The 18,883-nt window shown below is 42.1% G+C and overlaps 1 long non-coding RNA gene across 1 annotated transcript, besides 1 other annotated feature; it reads left to right on the forward strand.

Annotated features, from left to right (window-relative positions):
• Positions 2,090-2,750: an enhancer, noted in NCBI's record as "H3K4me1 hESC enhancer chr3:137490617-137491277 (GRCh37/hg19 assembly coordinates)". NCBI's record gives its function as "activates a minimal SCP1, AML or CMV promoter by ChIP-STARR-seq in naive H9 embryonic stem cells {active_cell/tissue: H9 hESC(naive)}" and the evidence as "EXISTENCE:reporter gene assay evidence [ECO:0000049][PMID:30033119]".
• LINC01210 (long intergenic non-protein coding RNA 1210) lies at positions 2,226-11,193 on the forward strand. The gene is made up of 5 exons (NR_109987.1): positions 2,226-2,445; positions 4,843-4,929; positions 5,591-5,665; positions 6,597-6,719; positions 10,377-11,193. It is a non-coding gene; the product is annotated as a long intergenic non-protein coding RNA 1210 (long non-coding RNA).
• Positions 11,194-18,883: the final 7,690 nt, after the last annotated feature.

The following is an 18,883-nucleotide window of genomic DNA, read 5'->3' on the forward strand; positions in this document are numbered from 1 at the left end:
ACTTTCAATACAGCTCACCATTTAGGGAAGTGTGTCCCGCCGGTCAGCTTCTCTTGAGAGATCCGAGACTGCCAGGGCCCGGAAAACTTGGCGAGCTGTGGTGCCAGCACTCTTGTTTCCTTCATCTCCTCCCCAGCTCAGGCCTTGTTACCATTGTTCAAGTGGACAGCGAATTTCAAACCATTTGAATTTGAATATCACCTAATTCACAAGATTTGTGTAAAGAATTCTCATCTATTTGCTGAGTGGATTGTGTGTGAGTGTGAGAGGAAGAGGCACAGGGACAGAAGGGGTCCGTTAGATTTGGAGGCAGGAGAGCTTCCCGCCTCCACCGAGGTGCGTGCTCTCCTGGCCTCTGTCCTGCCCTGCCCTGCCCTGCCTCCTAGGCTCTAGTGGACCTAGCAGTGGGAGAGCTACTTGGGCTGGTTTCTTTCCTGACGCTGCAGGGATGGGCATCGGCCTGGAACCAGAAGCGCAGGAGCTGGGCCACGGCAGAGTAATTAAGAAAATAATGAAATTGATGGCGGATGGGGGCGCTAGAAATCCTGGGGCGTCTACTTAAAACCAGAGATTCGCGGTCGGCCCCACGGAATCCCGGCTCTGTGTGCGCCCAGGTTCCGGGGCTTGGGCGTTGCCGGTTCTCACACTAGGAAGGAGCCTGAAGTCAGAAAAGATGGGGCCTCGTTACTCACTTTCTAGCCCAGCCCCTGGCCCTGGGTCCCGCAGAGCCGTCATCGCAGGCTCCTGCCCAGCCTCTGGGGTCGGGTGAGCAAGGTGTTCTCTTCGGAAGCGGGAAGGGCTGCGGGTCGGGGACGTCCCTTGGCTGCCACCCCTGATTCTGCATCCTTTTCGCTCGAATCCCTGCGCTAGGCATCCTCCCCGATCCCCCAAAAGCCCAAGCACTGGGTCTGGGTTGAGGAAGGGAACGGGTGCCCAGGCCGGACAGAGGCTGAAAGGAGGCCTCAAGGTTCCTCTTTGCTACAAAGTGGAGAAGTTGCTCTACTCTGGAGGGCAGTGGCCTTTTCCAAACTTTTCCACTTAGGTCCGTAAGAAAAGCAATTCATACACGATCAGCGCTTTCGGTGCGAGGATGGAAAGAAACTTCAGAAAAACTCTCGCCAGACAACCCGGCAGCACTTGGCCCCGGAACAGAGAGGAGAGAAAGACCTGACCGCCGCACTCAGGGCCACCCGCCGCACTAAGTTTGAGGGTTCCCTCTGCCTCCAGGCCTCTGTCGCCCGAGCTCAGGCTCTCCTAGGTGCTTCAGGGCCGGGCTGCACTCGAGCCCCGAGGAGGCCCTGCTAGCGCTAGCGCGGCGGTGATAACCGAGGGAGGTGGGTGAGAGGTGCGGCTGTCGAGGCAAACGCAGAGCACCCGCCCAGTCCTCCAAGGGCCGAGAGCCGGGAGTCCCGAACGCCGCTTAAGCAGCTCCTTGCTTCCCGCAGCCCGTCCACATCCCTGCGGGATTTCTGGACGCCCCGCCCGGGGACCTAGGGAGGAGGGAGAGAGGAGGGAGGGAGTGGGCAGCCTGGGCGCACGCCACCGGTCCCCGTACGCCCGGCACCCCCCGTGGCGCGGCGAGTCAATGGGATTTGCACACTCGAGGTGTAACAGCATTACTGCATTAATTACCATTTCCATTTCACGTCCAGATTGTTTACTTATCTGCGGGAAACATATGTCGGGAGAAGTTCACATTCCGGATTCTGCTCCGCTGCCCAAGGTGCAATTCCGGGGAGGCGGCGAGGGGGGAGGGGAGGGCTTCAGATTTTTTATTACACCCTCTAGCCTTATCTGCCGCTGTAAATTATGAGGATCCTCCATTGAGCGGCATATGGAGATTATATACTTTTTTGAATATCGTTTCCCAAAGCCTGCAGATTTTCACTTTGAAATGAAACAATCCTCCGCTGGTTCCCCCGGGGACAGGCGTCTCCTGCGTTCCCCCGCGCGGCCTGGGGGACCCTTCTCGCAGAGCAGGCGCGCACCCCAATGCCGTGGCCGGCGCCCAGTGGAGACTTCTTTCACAGGGTCTAGAATAATCTTCCGCGGAACACCCATCCATATGCAGTGTTTGAGAACTAAGGCAGCTCCCTTGCTCTGTTTTCCTGCGCCTAGCCCCCGGACTTTTGTGCCGTTTGCAGCTCTTTTTCATTTCGAATACCCGCATAGACGCGAGCCCACTTCTGCCCTCTTCCTACGCTGGGCGGCTCCAAACCCGCCGCGAGGGCTGAGGTGTTCACACCTGCCCACGGCAGCCTGCCTCGCCCTCAAGCGCCTCAAAGCTTCCTAAGCGCTTACATTGGTCTTGGGACAGCCGACTTTGGCTTCTTTGTTTGTTTGAGGGACCGCGGAAGTGGCGGGGAATGTGCCCCCGCTTGAGACCGCTTATTGTGAGCCCTCAACGGAAATCCTGCACGGAAGGCAACCGCCTCCCCGCTCGCGGTAAGCAGGATCCACCCGAGTAGCGGGGACCGAATCCCATCTTTCTTATCTCTCGAAGACTCCTTTCAGGCTGAGATCAGAGAGGGAGGGAAAAAGAAGAGAGAATCATTGTTCTTCTTTTTTTAATTTAATATACCAAGCCACCAGCTCAGGTCATTTATATGCTTAATTTAGTGATAAAAGTCAATAAGCGGAATCACAGGGTTCTTCCCTCTTTCTATTTCTTTTGACCACATTTTTCTACAGTAATTGGGAAAACCGTAAAATATATACACCCGCTTTCCGCCTTCAATGCTTTGTCTGCAATGCGATTATAATAAGTGTATTTTATTAATGTAATTTGTTTGCTTTTTTGAAGGATGCAAGGGAAAATGTGCCTTTTAGGAGATTTTTTTCCATCTTATCTGGGTTCAGTTTGCAGAATTACACATACTCTGTGTGTACACACTCACCCTCAAAAGCCAAACTCAGAAATTTCCTTGAAATGCCCGTTTTTATGATTCAGAAATATCCCGTGGGAAACCTATTGTGATGTTATACCAGGAACAATTAAATGGACCAAAGCAATGCAATTAAGGCAGAGAAGAAATAAGATGGAAAATGGGGAGAAATAAACAGATTCTTTTCCATTAAGTATTGTTTTGAGATTTCTAATTTTTTCAGGACCTCTAAGAAAATTGTGAGGTGTCACTTCTCTCTTCTGGGTCTATCTGTAATTGAATCTAGGTCACTATTCTAAGGCAAGAAAAGTCTGCTTTCCACTTTCCTACATCAGGCTGAAATTTGGGGGAGGGACAAGGGTCTTGCAATTTCATTTAAAATGTAATGGTGGATGAACTGATAAGCAAATACGGAAAAAAGAGTCTGCTTAAAAGAAAAAAAAGGCATGGTTTTAATATGCTACAGATGGGGGGAAAATGATTTACATGAGAGTTTATTTCCTCTTTGCTGATATGAAAGAATTACAGATACAAAACCCACTGATCTATAGAATAAAAAAAGAAAAGAAATGTTATTTTCCTGTAAAGGTGTCAGTTCATTTATATTCATTTAACCATCCATCCATCAATTCACTTTCTCACTCCTTGCACATTCTCTCTGGCTCTGTTAAACCTTCCCCTACCAATACACTTTGCTAGAATATGCAATGAAGTTTTCTTTTAAAAAATAGTGTGAGATTGAGATGAAGTAGGTAAAGATAAGTAAAGAGAGAAGGTTTTGTTGTTGTTGTTAAATAATTACCCCCTCATAATTCAGCATTATGATTTATGATTTTAGAACAAAATTTTACCCATATTCACATCTCATTACTACTGCAGTTTGAGTACATACAACATGCCAGTGGTTAAGAATATATGCAGAAGATATGCAATTATTTTTTCATAAGATATGCATGCAATACAAAGAAATTTATTAGTTATAAACCTTCCTGTAACTTAAAAAATGTAGTAAAAGATGAGTCAGATGTTGGGTCAATAATTCATTGTTTTATTAAAATAGCTGTTTTAATAAGTATGAAGTAGTTCACATTTCCCTAAGGATTTCCTGCTTGCTCAAGGTATGAGCAACATCAAATCTTTTGTGTTTAAAGTTTTCAGGTCCAAAAAAATGTATAGTAAAATTTGCATATATTAAGAAAGAAATGAGAGGTGCAGTCATTTGAGGAGCTTCTAAATGCTGGAGAAGATTACATAAGAATACGTTTTACTTTTCCTGAAATAAAAATTGATGACCAGTATGACAGATATTTCCTCCATATTCTCCCAAATAAAGGGGTAACATAGTGTCATCTCCTCTTTCAATGACACGCAAATGAATGACTGGAAACCTATAGATCTAAGCAAGGACAAGACCAACAACCAGCATCTGTTGCTGGTTTTCATAAGTAAGAAAAACAGTACATTGTTTAAGACAGCAATGCATTCCCACAGGATGAATCTTCTCCAGACTGAAGACCGTTTCCTTCAACCTTTTTTTTTTCTGTCTTATTCCTTTCTCCTCCTCTTGTTTAGTTTTCTTTTTTTTTTTTTTAACCTGTAAATACTATTGATGAATCAGAAATTTTCTTTCTAGGTCTTCATAAATTATCAGTATAATTCTTTGTCATGCCTGCTTCTTCCTGGTCTCACTTTCTCTCACTGTGGTAATCCATTTTCTTAATCACCTAATTTTTAATCAACCAAAGTGAGTATGAGGTAAAAGGATTAGCAGTTTGGGCAGAAGTTAAAATGTCTCATGGATGTTTTGACTCAAACTCTATAGACTTATTTGTAGCAAGTGCTTATGATATAATTCAGCTGAACGAGAGGGCAGCTTTAAGACATTTTAGAATTGTTTCTTACCATTGTCTTTTACTTCCTGGGCTCTTCAATGTTTGTCATAATTATACCTAGTTAGAAGGCTTCATTTGCTCTGAGTTATCATTGAGAACTAAATGGAGAAGAAAAGAACTGAAGGCCTGAAGATATGTCATCTGTAGAAAAGGTGAGCTGAACTTTTCTCTGTCTGAACATACTTTGGGTTTACAATGAGACATTTACGTATTTGTATAAATCGGTTATACTCTGAGCTAATGTGAACACAAACTTGGTATAAATACAGATGACTCCCTCTCTGCTGCTGTGGGAGGTTCAACTGACACCTGGGGCTCAGACCAGTCTTGTTACCACATGCTTGGTGAAATTCAAAGTGTGTCACACAACTACAACAGCATTCATGGCCAACCTATTTGGTAGAAAGGATTGAAGTCAGATGGGAGGTCAATTTGCTGTCTAAATCAAAAAAACTTAGCTCCTTTGCAGATAATTGAAGATGCTGCAACATTGCCCGAAAACATTTTATAATAAACAGGTGAAATAAGTGATAATGAAGGTGGGTTTGGATTTTTTATTTTAGAAGGAGAAATTTCATAGAAAATATGAATCCTTGTCTCATGATTAGTGTCTCTCTGCAACAGCCCCATCCTTCTGCAGGTGGCCTCTTCTCAAGCTTTCTTGGCAAATCAAGAGCTTCTGCCTTTTGGAGGACATCCTCTTGACCTCCCACCCATATCAGCTCTTAGAGGACATTCCACAGGAACATTGCCTTCTTGTCCTCCAGTATTTTTTATGGAAACAGAAATTAGGTTATCTTCCTTATGCTCTAGATGGACATCTGAAATCATCAAACCCTTGAGAGAAACAGCCCTCATTCTTTTATGAGACAACCTGGAAGAAAACAGGTAAATTTCATTTGTGATGAACTGTTGCCAGAAAGAAAATTGCCATTATGATTTCATTCTTCTTCACTGGGGAGGGCTCAAGAGTAGGATAAACTCAGAAAGAAAAATAGTTCTTTGGATTGAGGCCAAAAAGGATATTCATTAATTTCTGTCTTTTGGTCATCCTCTGAATTTCAACTAGAAGTCAAAATGTATTCCTTTAGTTAGTAAGGGGGAAACCAGTTGAAAAGGCCTTAATTAGTTAATGCGTTCGCCAGCCCCTTATGGTTCAAATTCCTTACTTTCCTGAACAGCAAATAATTTCCTACTCCCCAGAAGAATTCAGACCCTCTATGCTAAGATTCCACACCTCTGTCAATGAAGCAAGGTAGGAAAGTGATGGCGAAGGGATCAGCATGCCACTGCCAATTAATCATGAAAATTTTAATAATTGGCCTTTAGTTCCCTACTGATGGTGTCAACTTCATTCATATATTCTTTCCCTTGATAAGAAAGGGCAGCATCAAAAGCTCTGACTGTCTTACTAGGAGAAATCTATGATACTTAAAGAAAAAAACCTGAAGTGCCATCAGGCCAGCCCTGGAAGTCTGTTGGAACCTGGTAGAGATATTGCCTGGCACAAAAGCTAAAGGCTGAGCACCAAGCCTCAGACCATTCATTTAATGAAGTCCTGGCTTGGATGCAGAAAAAGAAGTCAGAAAACTTGTATTTTACTTCCCGTGGCATCGACTATGCCTGGATTGGTGTAAAATAGTCCACTGGATGCGAATGAGTAAGATTTTGATTTCTCTGCAATCAGTGACTAAAAGAAAATCCAACATTGTTAACAGTGTTTAAGTATCATCTCAACTAATGAATTAAATGAGATTGCTTTTTCTTTCATTAAAATGTGTTTTAGGAATATGCTTTAATTTATTGTATCTCTTTCCAGGACTCTGAAGATTTGTCTCCATATTCTCTGGAAAGATGTACTCTGTTTGCAATAAGAGGGAGCCACATGGTTTATTAGATGGTTATTAATTGAGCATTCTGTGCAAAGAAGTTTGTGCCTTAGGTATTTTATCTTGTTAAATTCTCCCCAAAGCATTATTAGGTAGGTACTGCTATTATGCCAATTTCAGATATGAGGAAAGTAAGGCTCAGAGACATTAAGTGACTTACCCAAGAGCTCACAGACCTCACATGGAGCTGCTATACCCAAGCTCTCTGTCTTCCCACTACTGTCTTTAAAATCAAAGGCTTACTGGAGGTGGGTAAAGGAAGGAACAAAGAACCCATGGCATTCACAGCTGAGGAAGAGTCCAAGGAAGGGGGGTAAGGGGGAGGAGCTGAAACACCTTCCCTGTCTCAGTTTGACCTAGAATATTCAGAATCAAAACTGATCAACATCTCCTGTCACTGAACTCTTACTAGTTGGGCCCACACTGCTTCAGCTTTATCATCCCAAGTCTTACTGGCTGCTTCTGAGTCTTGCAGGCAGAGCTAGGGACCAGGACACCACCAGGGTGATCCCAAATCATCACATATGAGAGGCACATTTACAGACACGGATTTCCTGCAAAGCCTACCAGATGAGCCCCCAGCCCCTTCCAGTCCCATTTCATTATGCTCACTCCAGAGCAGCCTTCTTTACCACACAGCTTAGCAATTGAAAGTAAATATGTTGGGAAGGAAAGAAAAAATATTCCTGAAAGTCCTATGTCTTGTTCTCCTGCGCTTAATCGGGTTTAGTAAATCTGTTACCCTGATCATCCCCTTGAATTTCTAAACTAGATTCTTCAAATCTGCCCAATCTCTATGTCTTTGTCTTGAGATAGGAACAATGTTTCTTGCTTGCTCAGACTGCATTGAGCTGTTGGGTATCAACCATGGAATACCAAGTGGCTTTTGCATTTCCCTGCTAATAATAGTTTGCATTCGATGCATCTTTCTGGAAGGTTCAAACCTTGCCATAAATAAAAAGTTACTGATTACAATATTTATGTTTAAGGCAATATTGGGATTTTCCAAAGCCTCTCAGTTGTTTTGGGCTCAACTTTTATAGAGCTTCTCTGAAACATGCTCGTTTACTCATTCTTCTAGATTTAGAATTCCACCCTCAGTTGGAATACAGATGATCCCTAACAAGTCACATGAAAAAATGAACTGTGGAGCCAGAAGAGTGAGTTCTTGGAGAACTAAGGGCCAGAGACCTGTGAGCAAGATTTGATAATTTTATAAAAATTAAAAGACGATTTGAAATGTTATTGGTCTTACTAAAACTTTTACTTGTGAACTGCAATTGATGACATGATCACTTGTGCCAATTATAATTTTATACCAAAGGACTGCAGAGCATTGGATGGGTTTGTTGGGCAGGTTTCTCACAAACGCTGACAGAAAGGTATGACGAAGGATGGGAGGACAAACTGGGGGGGTGCCAAGTAGAAAAACAGAAGCGATGGCTAAGTGCTCGTCCTGGACTCTGCCCTTTGATAAGGGACTGAAGGTCCCTTATGATCTTCTTTCAAATTCCACCGTCACAGTTTTAGTCACATCCATCTATAATATTATTTACTATCAGACTTTTCTTTAAATTGACTCGCTTTTTCACTTTAGCCTTATCCCAAGCAATAATGCATATAAATCATAAGTTTGTTGTAATAGATTTTTTGTAATACTAATCAAAATTAAATTTATTCCCCTGTAACAGAGATAATTTCTCAAATTACTTTGGAAAACACCAATTTAAAGTGCTCAGTTTACCACTTGAGGAAAATGAGAGATCAGAGGAGTAAAGCCAATTTTCCAAGGTCACACAGCCTGACAACTGGAAATCCTGGCCTAGCACCTAAGTCTTTTAGGTATTGGCCCAGTACTCTTTCCTTCTATCATCTTTCTCAGAGGCAAAGAAAAAAAAAAAAACTATCAGGCAATTAGCACTATCTCTTGAGGGTAGAGGGCGTGAAGATTCACCAGGTTCTCTCATAAAGTTTAAACACTTTCTCGGTGGTGCTAAACCTTATCTTGGTTACTCAGACTGTCTTCAGTCTGTTAATTATATTGCATAAAACCTAACACATTTCCATGAAAGGAGCTCTAAGGGAAGAAGGACCTGAATGGGTTTTGAGAGCCAGGGCCTGCCTATCCTTTAAGAAGGTCGTCTGGGCAGGAGAAAGCAGGAAGGGAAGGGAAAGGCCACTAACCATAAGCAGTCCAATTGTGGGTAAGTCACTAGTGTCAAGGAATGTAGTCTCCTCAGTCAGGCAGGGTCCAGGTGCTGCATACTGCCCAAACTGCCTGCCTTCCCCTGGATATTTGTTTTATCTTGGAGCATGTCGTGGCCTCAGAGAACTGAATTCTTAATCTGTGGCCTTTCAAAGTCTATGGTTGTTTCCAACATCACATTGTCTCAGATTTGTTACTCGCAGCACAGATTCGAAATGAGCCTTCAGTAAAAGTAAAAAGAAAGGAAGAAAGAAAGAAAGAAAGAAAGAAAGAAAGAAAGAAAGAAAGAAAGAAAGAAAGAAGAAAGAAAGAGAAAGAAAGAAAGAAGAAAGAAAGAAAGAAAGAAAGAAAGAAAGAAAGAAAGAAAGAAAGAAAGAAAGAAAAGAAAGAAAGCCAGCCAGTGGAAGAGTTTAGCCCCCACAAAAGCAAAAAGCACCCAGCAAATCAAGCATTTTCTTGCAGACTTGTGCTAATTTTGTTTATTTGTTTATTACAAGGTGCTCTAAACCTCCTGGGGTATTCCACAGCTTTAATGACTATGTGTAACACCACCTAGCTAACACTGCTTTTCCATTCAGTCAACTCAGTCTCACAGCAGTCCTCACAACTACGTGGTTTCAGGTATTATTTTACAGAGGAGGCTGGAGCTTTGGGAAGTTAAGTGGCTTGCCTACAGTCACAAAGCCAATACGAAGAGGACCTGAAACTCAGATCTTTTTTCCCTCCCAGTTTGGGATTCTTGCTATCACCCTATCACACTTCTAGACCTGTATCTCTTGCATCTCTATCGTTCTTTCCTCAAGTCAACATACATTTCTCCAGAGTCCTAATGTCCTTCATCTTACCTTGGCACAATAAGCAATTCATTGGGACTTTTCCGCTTTGGATTTGTTTTGTCTTTCTCATTCTTTTGAGGCTGCAGATTAGCATTTTGGCTAATCACTTGGGTATTAAAAGTTAGACCCTCTGGGCCTAAATCCTAGAACTACTCCTTGCTAGCTATGCCAACATTAGCAAGTTGCTTAACCTCTCTGTGTCTCACTTACCTCATCTGCAAAATGGAAATTGAAATAGTCTTCGTAGGTAATGATAGCCTTGAAGGCCTTACAGGATTATTTTGAGGATTAAAGGACACAATGGTTGTAAAGTACTTAAGTATCATGCCACGCAATTAATGTTAGATATAATTTTGAGTGTTTTCTCTTTTTTCACCCCTTTAAAAAATCTTCTTTTGAATTCAGGATTCCTTTTCCCCATATATTTTTATGGTGAATGAGAATATCGGCTTAGGGTCTACTCTGTTCATCTCTTGAAAACGACATTATACTTTTTCTTCTAAAAAATGATACAAAGAGAATCCCCAGCCTTTTCCCCCTCTCCCTGTGGCTACAGTTTTCCCATCATTTTAAAAGGTTATTTCTTTTCTTCATAGCACAATGTGGTGGGATGAAGGGGAAATGGTTTAGAAAATTTTAAATTGATGTATCTTATTTGTTTCCCCCAGTTATATTGAAAAGAAGAAAATCTCTCCAGTTTCAGAAACACTGGCCTTTTGGATACTGAGGAGTTGGAAATGGAAAGGGGATTTTAATGAGTTTCTCGGCAATGAGGCTAGAGAAAATATTATCCATCTCCCCCTGTTCTCCAATTCAGCAGCTCGGACTCCTGTTTTCATCACAGTCCTGTTAGATAATTACAGCCCCAAAGGCCTCCTGTTCCTTCTTTCTGTGTTCCCTGAATCTTCTTTCCCAGAGCCAGGACCTCTTGGAAATTCTCAGCCTCTGTTAGTTGCCCGCTCTGGGAGCCCGACTCCTCACATCCGTCATCTCTTTCTTCTCCCCCTTCACCTGCTGTAGTGTCCCCACTGTCTCTCTTTACCTCAGCTCCTTACCATTCCTTTCCCTCTACACCCTTTTCCTTTGGTTCATAGTCAGGATGTGCTAGTTGCATTCAAGCCCTTTTTGATACTAAGAATTCAGGGGGACAAATCCAAACCCTGGAGACTACTGTCTTCCCCTTAGTGATGCTAATGAATATAATTCCTGATCTGAAATTACCTGCACTTTATTTGGCTCCATCTACTTTTCTGCCACTTACTCCCTGTATAACCATAGGCTACGTACCCTACCTCTCTCTGGGTTTGTTTACTCCTCAGTTAAAAGGAGGATTAAAATGGCAATCACAACACCTTGCTACAGATATGTTAGGAAGATTAAATGGGATAACATGCAGGGTGCCTAGCCTTCCTGGCATATAGTAAATGCCTATAAAATATAACAAGTGTCATGTATTATTATTAAATTGTATCTACCTGGTAGAAACTAATGGAGTGGACTACTTTATTAATTTAGATTTCTCTCTTTTTCCTTTCCTATGATATTTAAGCTGGAAAACCCAGTATAGTTTAAAAAATCAGTTGTTCAGTCATTGTTTATACAATCTAGATTCACTTAAATAATCTCTCCAGTTTTTATGTAGACCCAATGACATGCAGAATAATAAACTAAGGGAGAGGGTTTGGTCCACACCTTCAGGGTCAGAAAACAGAGTTTTAACCCAGATAGAATGGTGAAAGGGCTTATAAGAAATTACTGAACTTTAAAGCTGTGGTCTGTGCATACCCAGAGTCTTTTTTTCTTTCTTTCTTTCTTTTTTTTTTTTTTTTTTTTGCGACGGAGTTTCGATCTTGTTGCCCAGGCTAGAGTGCAGTGGCACAATCTCGGCTCACTGCAACCTCTGCCTTCTGGGTTTAAGTGATTCTCCTGCCTCAGCCTCCCGAGTAGCTGGGATTACAAGTGCCTGCCACCATGCCCAGCTAATTTTTTGTAATTTTTTTAGTAGAGATGGGGTTTCACCATGTTGGCCAGGCTGGTCTCGAACTCCTGACCTCAGGCTATCCAGCCACCTTGGCCTCCCAAAGTGCTGGGATTACAGGCGTGAGCCACCGTGTCAGGCCTCCCAGAGTCTTATTTCATTTTATTTTATATATTTTTTGAGACAAGGCCTTGCTCCGTCACCCAGGCAACCTCGACCTCCTGGGCTAAAGCTATACTCCCGCCTCAGCCTCTCTAGTAGTTGAGATTACAGGCATATGCCATCACATCCAGCTAATGTTTTTTGTATTTTTGTAGAGATGGGGTCTCACTATGTTGCCCAGGCTGGTCTTGAACTCCTAGGCTCAAGCAATCCTCCTGCCTCAGCCTCCCAATATTCTGGGATTACAGGCATTCACCACCATGTCTGGCCTACCTGGGGCTTTAGAAGTTTAGAGCTTAGAGAAACACTTGAGAGCTTTGAGGTCACCCTCCCATTTCCAGATTAAAAAAAAAAAAATCAAGGGCCAGGAACAGCAAAGTGTCATGGTTAAGGTCACACAGGGGACGGTGGCAGAGAAAAGTCATTTGGGGCCTACCTTTATGTAGGCTACACTTCCCTATGCTGCCAGAACAATGAATGAGAAAAGGAAACATTTAGTCCATTGTTTTGGGCCTTCTTTTGATACTGAATGCTTTTGTTTTTGTGCCTGTACACATGCGAAGCCTCTGGTGGAATGGTCTGTGGGCACTGTGACAGACAAGCAGCACTATTAATACTGGTGGCTCAAAGTAATGACTGCCTGTGTGTTGACTGCCTATGCTATGCCGGGGGCTTTGTGTTCATATCATTCCATCTTTACTAGTTACTACAACTCTTCAGGGTAATGTGATTCTACCTTGTGGATCCAGGAGACTAAGTACCCGGCCCACCGTCCTTACAGACCCAGGTGCATATTGAGAACTGTGTGTCTGCAGAGAATATGCACTTTTTCCTGTGTCATGCTGCTTAATCCATGCTCAGAACTGACTTCCTGAGAAAGTGACAAGGAGAGAAGGAGAGTGTGAGAGGACAAGGCCCAGAACAAGAGGGTAAAGATGTTTGGAAGAATCAATTCGGGAAGACTTCCTGGGAGACGAAGTTTTGTAAAGAGTTGAGGGTAAGTCTGTACGGGGGCATGGAAAAACAAGTCTAGTTTACAAATGTGTCTTTTTACTGCCTCGTATTCAGTTTCTGTGTCAAATGTTTAAAAAGGCTCGCTGTGTTTATTTAAAAATATAAAACCAGGCAAGACTGGCTTTTTCACTCAGCATAATTTCTTTCATTTACGTGACATTCTTGAAAAGATAAAAGTATGGTGATGAAGAAAAGATCACTGGTAGCTGAGGGTTGAGAACTAGGGGAAGGTGTGACCAACAAATGGGTCACACCAGGAAATTTTTGAGGCCTTAGAACTGTTCTGCATCCTGATTGTAATAATGGTTGCATGAATCTACCCCCATGTTAAAATTTGTAGGACTGTCAATTGCATTGTATCTTATTTTTTCAAATTTATTTATTTTAAATTGACATACAAAATATGTATTTATCATGTAGAACTTGATGTTTTGAAGTATACATACATTTTGTATATACATTTTTTAAATAAAACGAAATTATAAAACAAGGCACAGAAACATATTGAAGAACACTTGGGCTGTATTCACGGTGATGGGGAAGTATCTCATTAAATCAGCCCCTCTTCAGTATGTCACCTGGTGCCTCTCATAGTATAGACCTGATTTCCAGCTAACAACTGAACTTCTCAGGGTACCAGCCGAGGGCTAGGGGCTTATCCCTTATAATTCTAGGTTCCAACTCTTCTGTGGGCCCCTTTGTTCACTCCATCTGAGGCAGTAGGGATGGATGGACAAGGAAAGGAGGGGGATCACATTTGGGTGGGAATGTACATCTTGCTAACAATGTTTTTTTTTTATTTTTTTAAGAGGCCTTGCTATCGTCCCAGAGTATGGATGACATTTCCCCTAAACCTATTATCTCATGAAATTAAGTACAGATAAAGAAATTCTCTAAGACGGAATGTTATTCTAATGTAGCATTAAACCCTCTTGCAACCATAATAGCAACTGCTACCATTTACTGAGAGCCTTCTCACGGGATCAGGCATTTTACCTACATGTGCTGCCTCTGTTCTTCCTCACAACCATCCTATTGAGAAGTTTGTCATTTCCTCATTGCTCATGTGAGGAAATAAGAGCTGATAACTTTGAACACAGTTAGAAGGCTAATCCTTGGCAGAGCAGGGATTTTAATCTAGGTCTCAGACTCCAAGTGTTGGTGTCCTTCCTGTCACTTCCACTGGCCATTTCAGCTGGGGTCATCCAGGTCTACTGAGGAGACTGCCCTGCCCCACCTCTCCTCCTCCTCCTCACTCACCACTACAGGCAACCTCATTTCCCAACCTGCCCACTTAGACTCCTCACCCCAGATCTTACCTTTACAACCTGTCCCCACTGTCACCCAGCCTCTTAAGAGGTTTGTCCCTGCTTTGACTCCGTCTATTCCCAGCCCTCCCATTCTTCCCCTTTATGCTCTTGGAACTATCACCAGTAGCTTGGAAACCGGGAGGATACACGAAGTCAGGAGAAGTTGAGCTCCTGGCACTCCACATGGTCAGCCACACTTATCCTTACAGACCTTGTTATAAAGGGTGGTCAGGCAGCATAAGCTGTTGGCTGATCAGACCATTACTCTTTTTCTCTTCATGCATAGATATGAGTGTTGGAGGGAACCTCAGCCCTTATCTTGTCTAAGTTGTAGGAATTGCCAAGACCTTGGTGGGCTGACTTGGGAATCCAGTCATCATGCAGAGCTGTGATCCTCACAGTGTGTGCACCAGCATCAACTGGGAGCTTGTTAGAAATGCAGATTCTCAAGCCCCTGCCCAGATTTACTGAATCAAAAATTCTGGGGGTGGGGCCCAGCAATCTGGGTTTTAACAAGGCCTCCACGGGTGCTTCTGAAGCATGGTACGTTTGGGATTTACTGATCTAGACCAATGCTTCTCAGACTTTAATGTACATAAAAATGCCAAAGAGTCGGTTGCCAGATTTAGCAAATAAAAATACAGGTGTACTTATGGAATATGCTTATACTAAACAAATGCATTGTTTATCTGAAATTCAAATTTAATTGGGTGCCCTGTATTTTATCTGTCAACCCTACCTGAGTATTTTTTTAAATGCAGCTTCTGATTCAGTAGGTCGAAGGTGAATCCTGAGATTCAGTATTTCTGACAAGCTCCCAGGTGACGGATGCCCAAGCTGCCAGACGCACTGAGAGCAAGGATCTAGAGCTACTTGTTACATGCAGATCCTGAAACTCTCTCTCAACCTACTGAGTCAGGTTGTCCCAGGGAGACACTGATTTAGAATGTTGTAACCAAGGGACCATGCGTTCTGAGTCACAAACATCCCATTTACAAACTGTAAGTTCAGGATTCACACATAGGTGAGACTCTGCATACACAGTAGTGGAGATAACCAAGAATGGGGTGGTTTTGCTGAGAGGCAGGGAGGAAAAGAGAAAAGTGCTGAGGTAGATGACCAACTCACTGTGGGAGTGGAGGACCCAGGAAATAGGAGGCTTGTTGCAACTCTGGGAAGGAGTAAAACGTGGGGCTGCCTGTCCCCCAGGACCCCAAAACACAAGCAACACCTCCATGTGCAAGATGCTAATAGGCACATTTATTGAGCCTCTCCTGTGTTGAGAAACTCCAGGTGATATCTCATTTCAGTTTATTCTCAAGCAATACTTTGAAATTGAAATTCTTTACCCCATTGAGAAGATGAAGAACCCAAGGCTCAGAAAGTGCTAAGATCATACAGCTAGCAAAACCTGGAGTCAGGATTTGAACACAGGTCTGTTCTCAAAGCCTCTCTCCACTGCCTCATGTCTCTCTCTGCTGATGCTCATTCTGTGGTAGCTATTGAAGCACAATGGTGGTTCCAGGAGACAAGTGGCCACTGTCCTCTACAGCTGCAGCAGCAGATTCCTTTCCTTATGGCATCTGCCTTCAACACCCTCCCACCTGGGCCTCTCCATTCCATCACATGATGCTCAGATCATGACCTGCACAGACTCAGCATGCTCGGTGACTCACCTATGGCTTGTTTCTCTCCAGAAGTGTACCCCACATGTTGGAAGCTACTAAAGAGGGCCTGACCACCTGCTTCATTAGGCCCATTAGCTTTCTTCTTTTGCAGGAGCCAGATTTGTCATGTATTTATTCTTGATGCATTTTTTTTCCTTTGATCTTCCAGAACAGCCACTTCAATTTAGGTTTCTACCTGGACATGATAAAATTCCAAGCATGTTCTCACCCCCATCCCAGGTTTCAAGGTGTATTAGTTTAAAGAATTCCTCTCCATCTGAGGAAATGTTATTGTCTGAGCAATACCAGAGTTGGAGGTCCCAGACTCACTGAGGGTAAGATGTTAGAATTTCAAACTCTTAATCCTATTGATTCCAAGTCCTTTTGATCTTTTCAACACCTGTCAGGGGAGTTGAGTTTATATAATTGGGGGGAGGGTGACTGATTGGCTCTGGTTTTATTACGACCTGTTTGTGCCATTTAATTAATAATAAAAACAGCTGCCAGCTGCCGAACCACTTGAGGACATCTTTGCAGCTTCTGCTTTTCCAAAAGCTCAGGCAATTATTTGGGTTTCAGGAAGGTGACTGAATCAGATCATCAGCCTGGGATGGATTTTGTTTTGCCTTTAAGCAACCTCCATTCGTCCTTTGTAGAGTCCATAAGTGAATTGAAGAACCAAGAAACACACAGCTCTTTTCAAGGACAGGAAAGGGGAAGAAAAGTACTATTTCCTGAGTGTTTAGGTTGTGCCAGGCACTTAACTCGCTTAATCCTTTCAACAGCTTTGAGTCGTAGATCTTATTATCCCCATTTTACAGATTAGAGAGTCTAGCCTCAGAGGTTAAGAAACATGCCCCAAGTTCAAACAGCCAGAAAATGACAAGGCTGGGATAAGAACTCGTCTGTCTGATTTCAAAGTCATTGGGTTTTCACGCTGTGTAGGTTGAAGAATTTCTTAATGCATCCTGAAAAGTAAGAAAACTTGTTTGGTTCTGTTTTGTTGTTTCTGCATTTTTTAAATGAATAAAATGTGCTGTTTAAAAGTCCTAGGTTCTCACTCAACCAAATGTGAAGACTCATTAAAAGCTCTGCTAAGTAAGTGAGAAATATAAATAGGTCAGTGAAATGATATAGGAATCTTGAGAAACAGCTCAATGAAAATCAGTCAGGGAAGTGATAGACTAATAAATGGTGTTGGGAACTGACTTTCAATATTAAAATAAAGCTAAGTTCCTATCTCATCTCATACACAAAAACAAATTCCAGATGGCTGAAGTATCTAAAGCTTAAAAGAGAAAAAATTAAACATTTAAAATTATTAGAAAAAAATAGAATATCTTAGGGCAGAGAAGACATCAAAAAATAGAAATAATAATGGAAAACATAAATAAACTTAGCTACCTCAAAATTTATAAATTTGTAAATTTTGTAAAACAAAAAAACCCAGCTTACAAAGTTAAAAGAAAAGTAGCCTGAGAGAAGATATTAGCAAGACTTACAACAGTCAAGATTAGTATTGAGAATGTATTAAGAAAGAAATTTTTAAAAAACTCCTACAAATCAATACCCAAAGACAGACAACCTAGTAGATAAATGGGCAAAGATTATAGAACAAGAAGTTCACAGAAAAGAAAGCCACACCCTCAGAATGAACAAATAAAAAAGTGTTCAACCCAACAGGGAAATAACAGCAAAAATAACACAATTGGCAAAAATTAAATAATATATCCTTGTTATGTATGAGTGAGAATATAGGCTAATGGAAATGTTCACAAATTACTGGTATCAGTATAAATTTGTACAGACATCATGGAAATTATTTTGGCAGTATCAGGTAAAAATTGACAATGTGTATCACCACCCAGGAACCCGCTTCTAGACATATCTAACAAAGAAATTCTTATGCAAGTGTAGGGCCAGCTTCATGGACACAGAGTTCTGCCCTCAGAAGGGCCCTGTGCTTGGTTTAATGCTCTGCTTTCACTGTCTTGAAGTTCTTAATCGTTTTACTTTTGAACTTGTGCTTTTAAGTGGTGTTTGCTGGGGCACTGCAGCATGTCATGAATGGAGGAGATGGGTGCAATATGCATGTCAGCCACATCTTGCTGCCCTGTTCATGTTAGTATTCAGGAAGCCCCACGAGCACAGAATCCCAGTGGACCCATGAAGTGTGGGAGTTCAACAGGACTCAGGGCAAGAACAAAGTAAGTATGTTATGTCTTCAGCTGAGTAAGTGGGGAGGTAAATACTCGAAGAGGCCACTCTTTCCCTTTGAACTAGAACTTGCTTCAAATGCAGAAACACGGACTGGCGAACCGAAAACTACAAACAACCAAGGAACCCTGTTGTACTTTTTCTAACTCATGTTCTTCCTGTATTTGCCAACCACTTATACTGAAAATGACAGCAGAGAAGGAAAGGGAAAGATTGGACATCTCACAATCCCTTTTTCTTTCACTCCTTCCTTATTCATCAGTAAGCCAAAGGTAGAGTGTTGGTAGACTGTGCATGAGTCAAGAAATGAAATAAAAACAGTTGGGTTCGTTTTGCAGCATTTCAACTCCTCTGGTGAGAATGAAATACATACACATTTAGGAGCTGCGAAATGCAAGTTGTATCATTTCCATGATTTTACATACAAGTTAAATATGCTTATATTTGCATTTAAAACAGGTATTGAACAATATAAAAATGAAAGGTAAGATTTATGATAATAGCTTACATTTTTAATTTTTCTTAGAACAACATTAGGACGACAAATAAAAAAACACCACCATGACAAGTCAAGAGCGAGATCATGGAAGAAGGAAAAAACCTTAGCTTTTATACCTTTAATGGCACTTTTTTCCTATATTTTGAACAGAAGGGCCAGCTTCATTTTGCACTGGGTCCACAAATTATGTAGCCAGCCCTATGCATTTGCACAAGGAAACATGAACAAGAATGTCCATTTTAGCATAATTGTAGAGGTTAAAAAGAAGGAAAATAATCCAATGTCCAAGAATAGGAACATGGAGAGATTACGATATAGTCTATAGGAT

This window comes from Homo sapiens, chromosome 3 (assembly GCF_000001405.40).
Source record: "Homo sapiens chromosome 3, GRCh38.p14 Primary Assembly".
NCBI classification, from domain to species: Eukaryota; Metazoa; Chordata; class Mammalia; order Primates; family Hominidae; genus Homo; species Homo sapiens.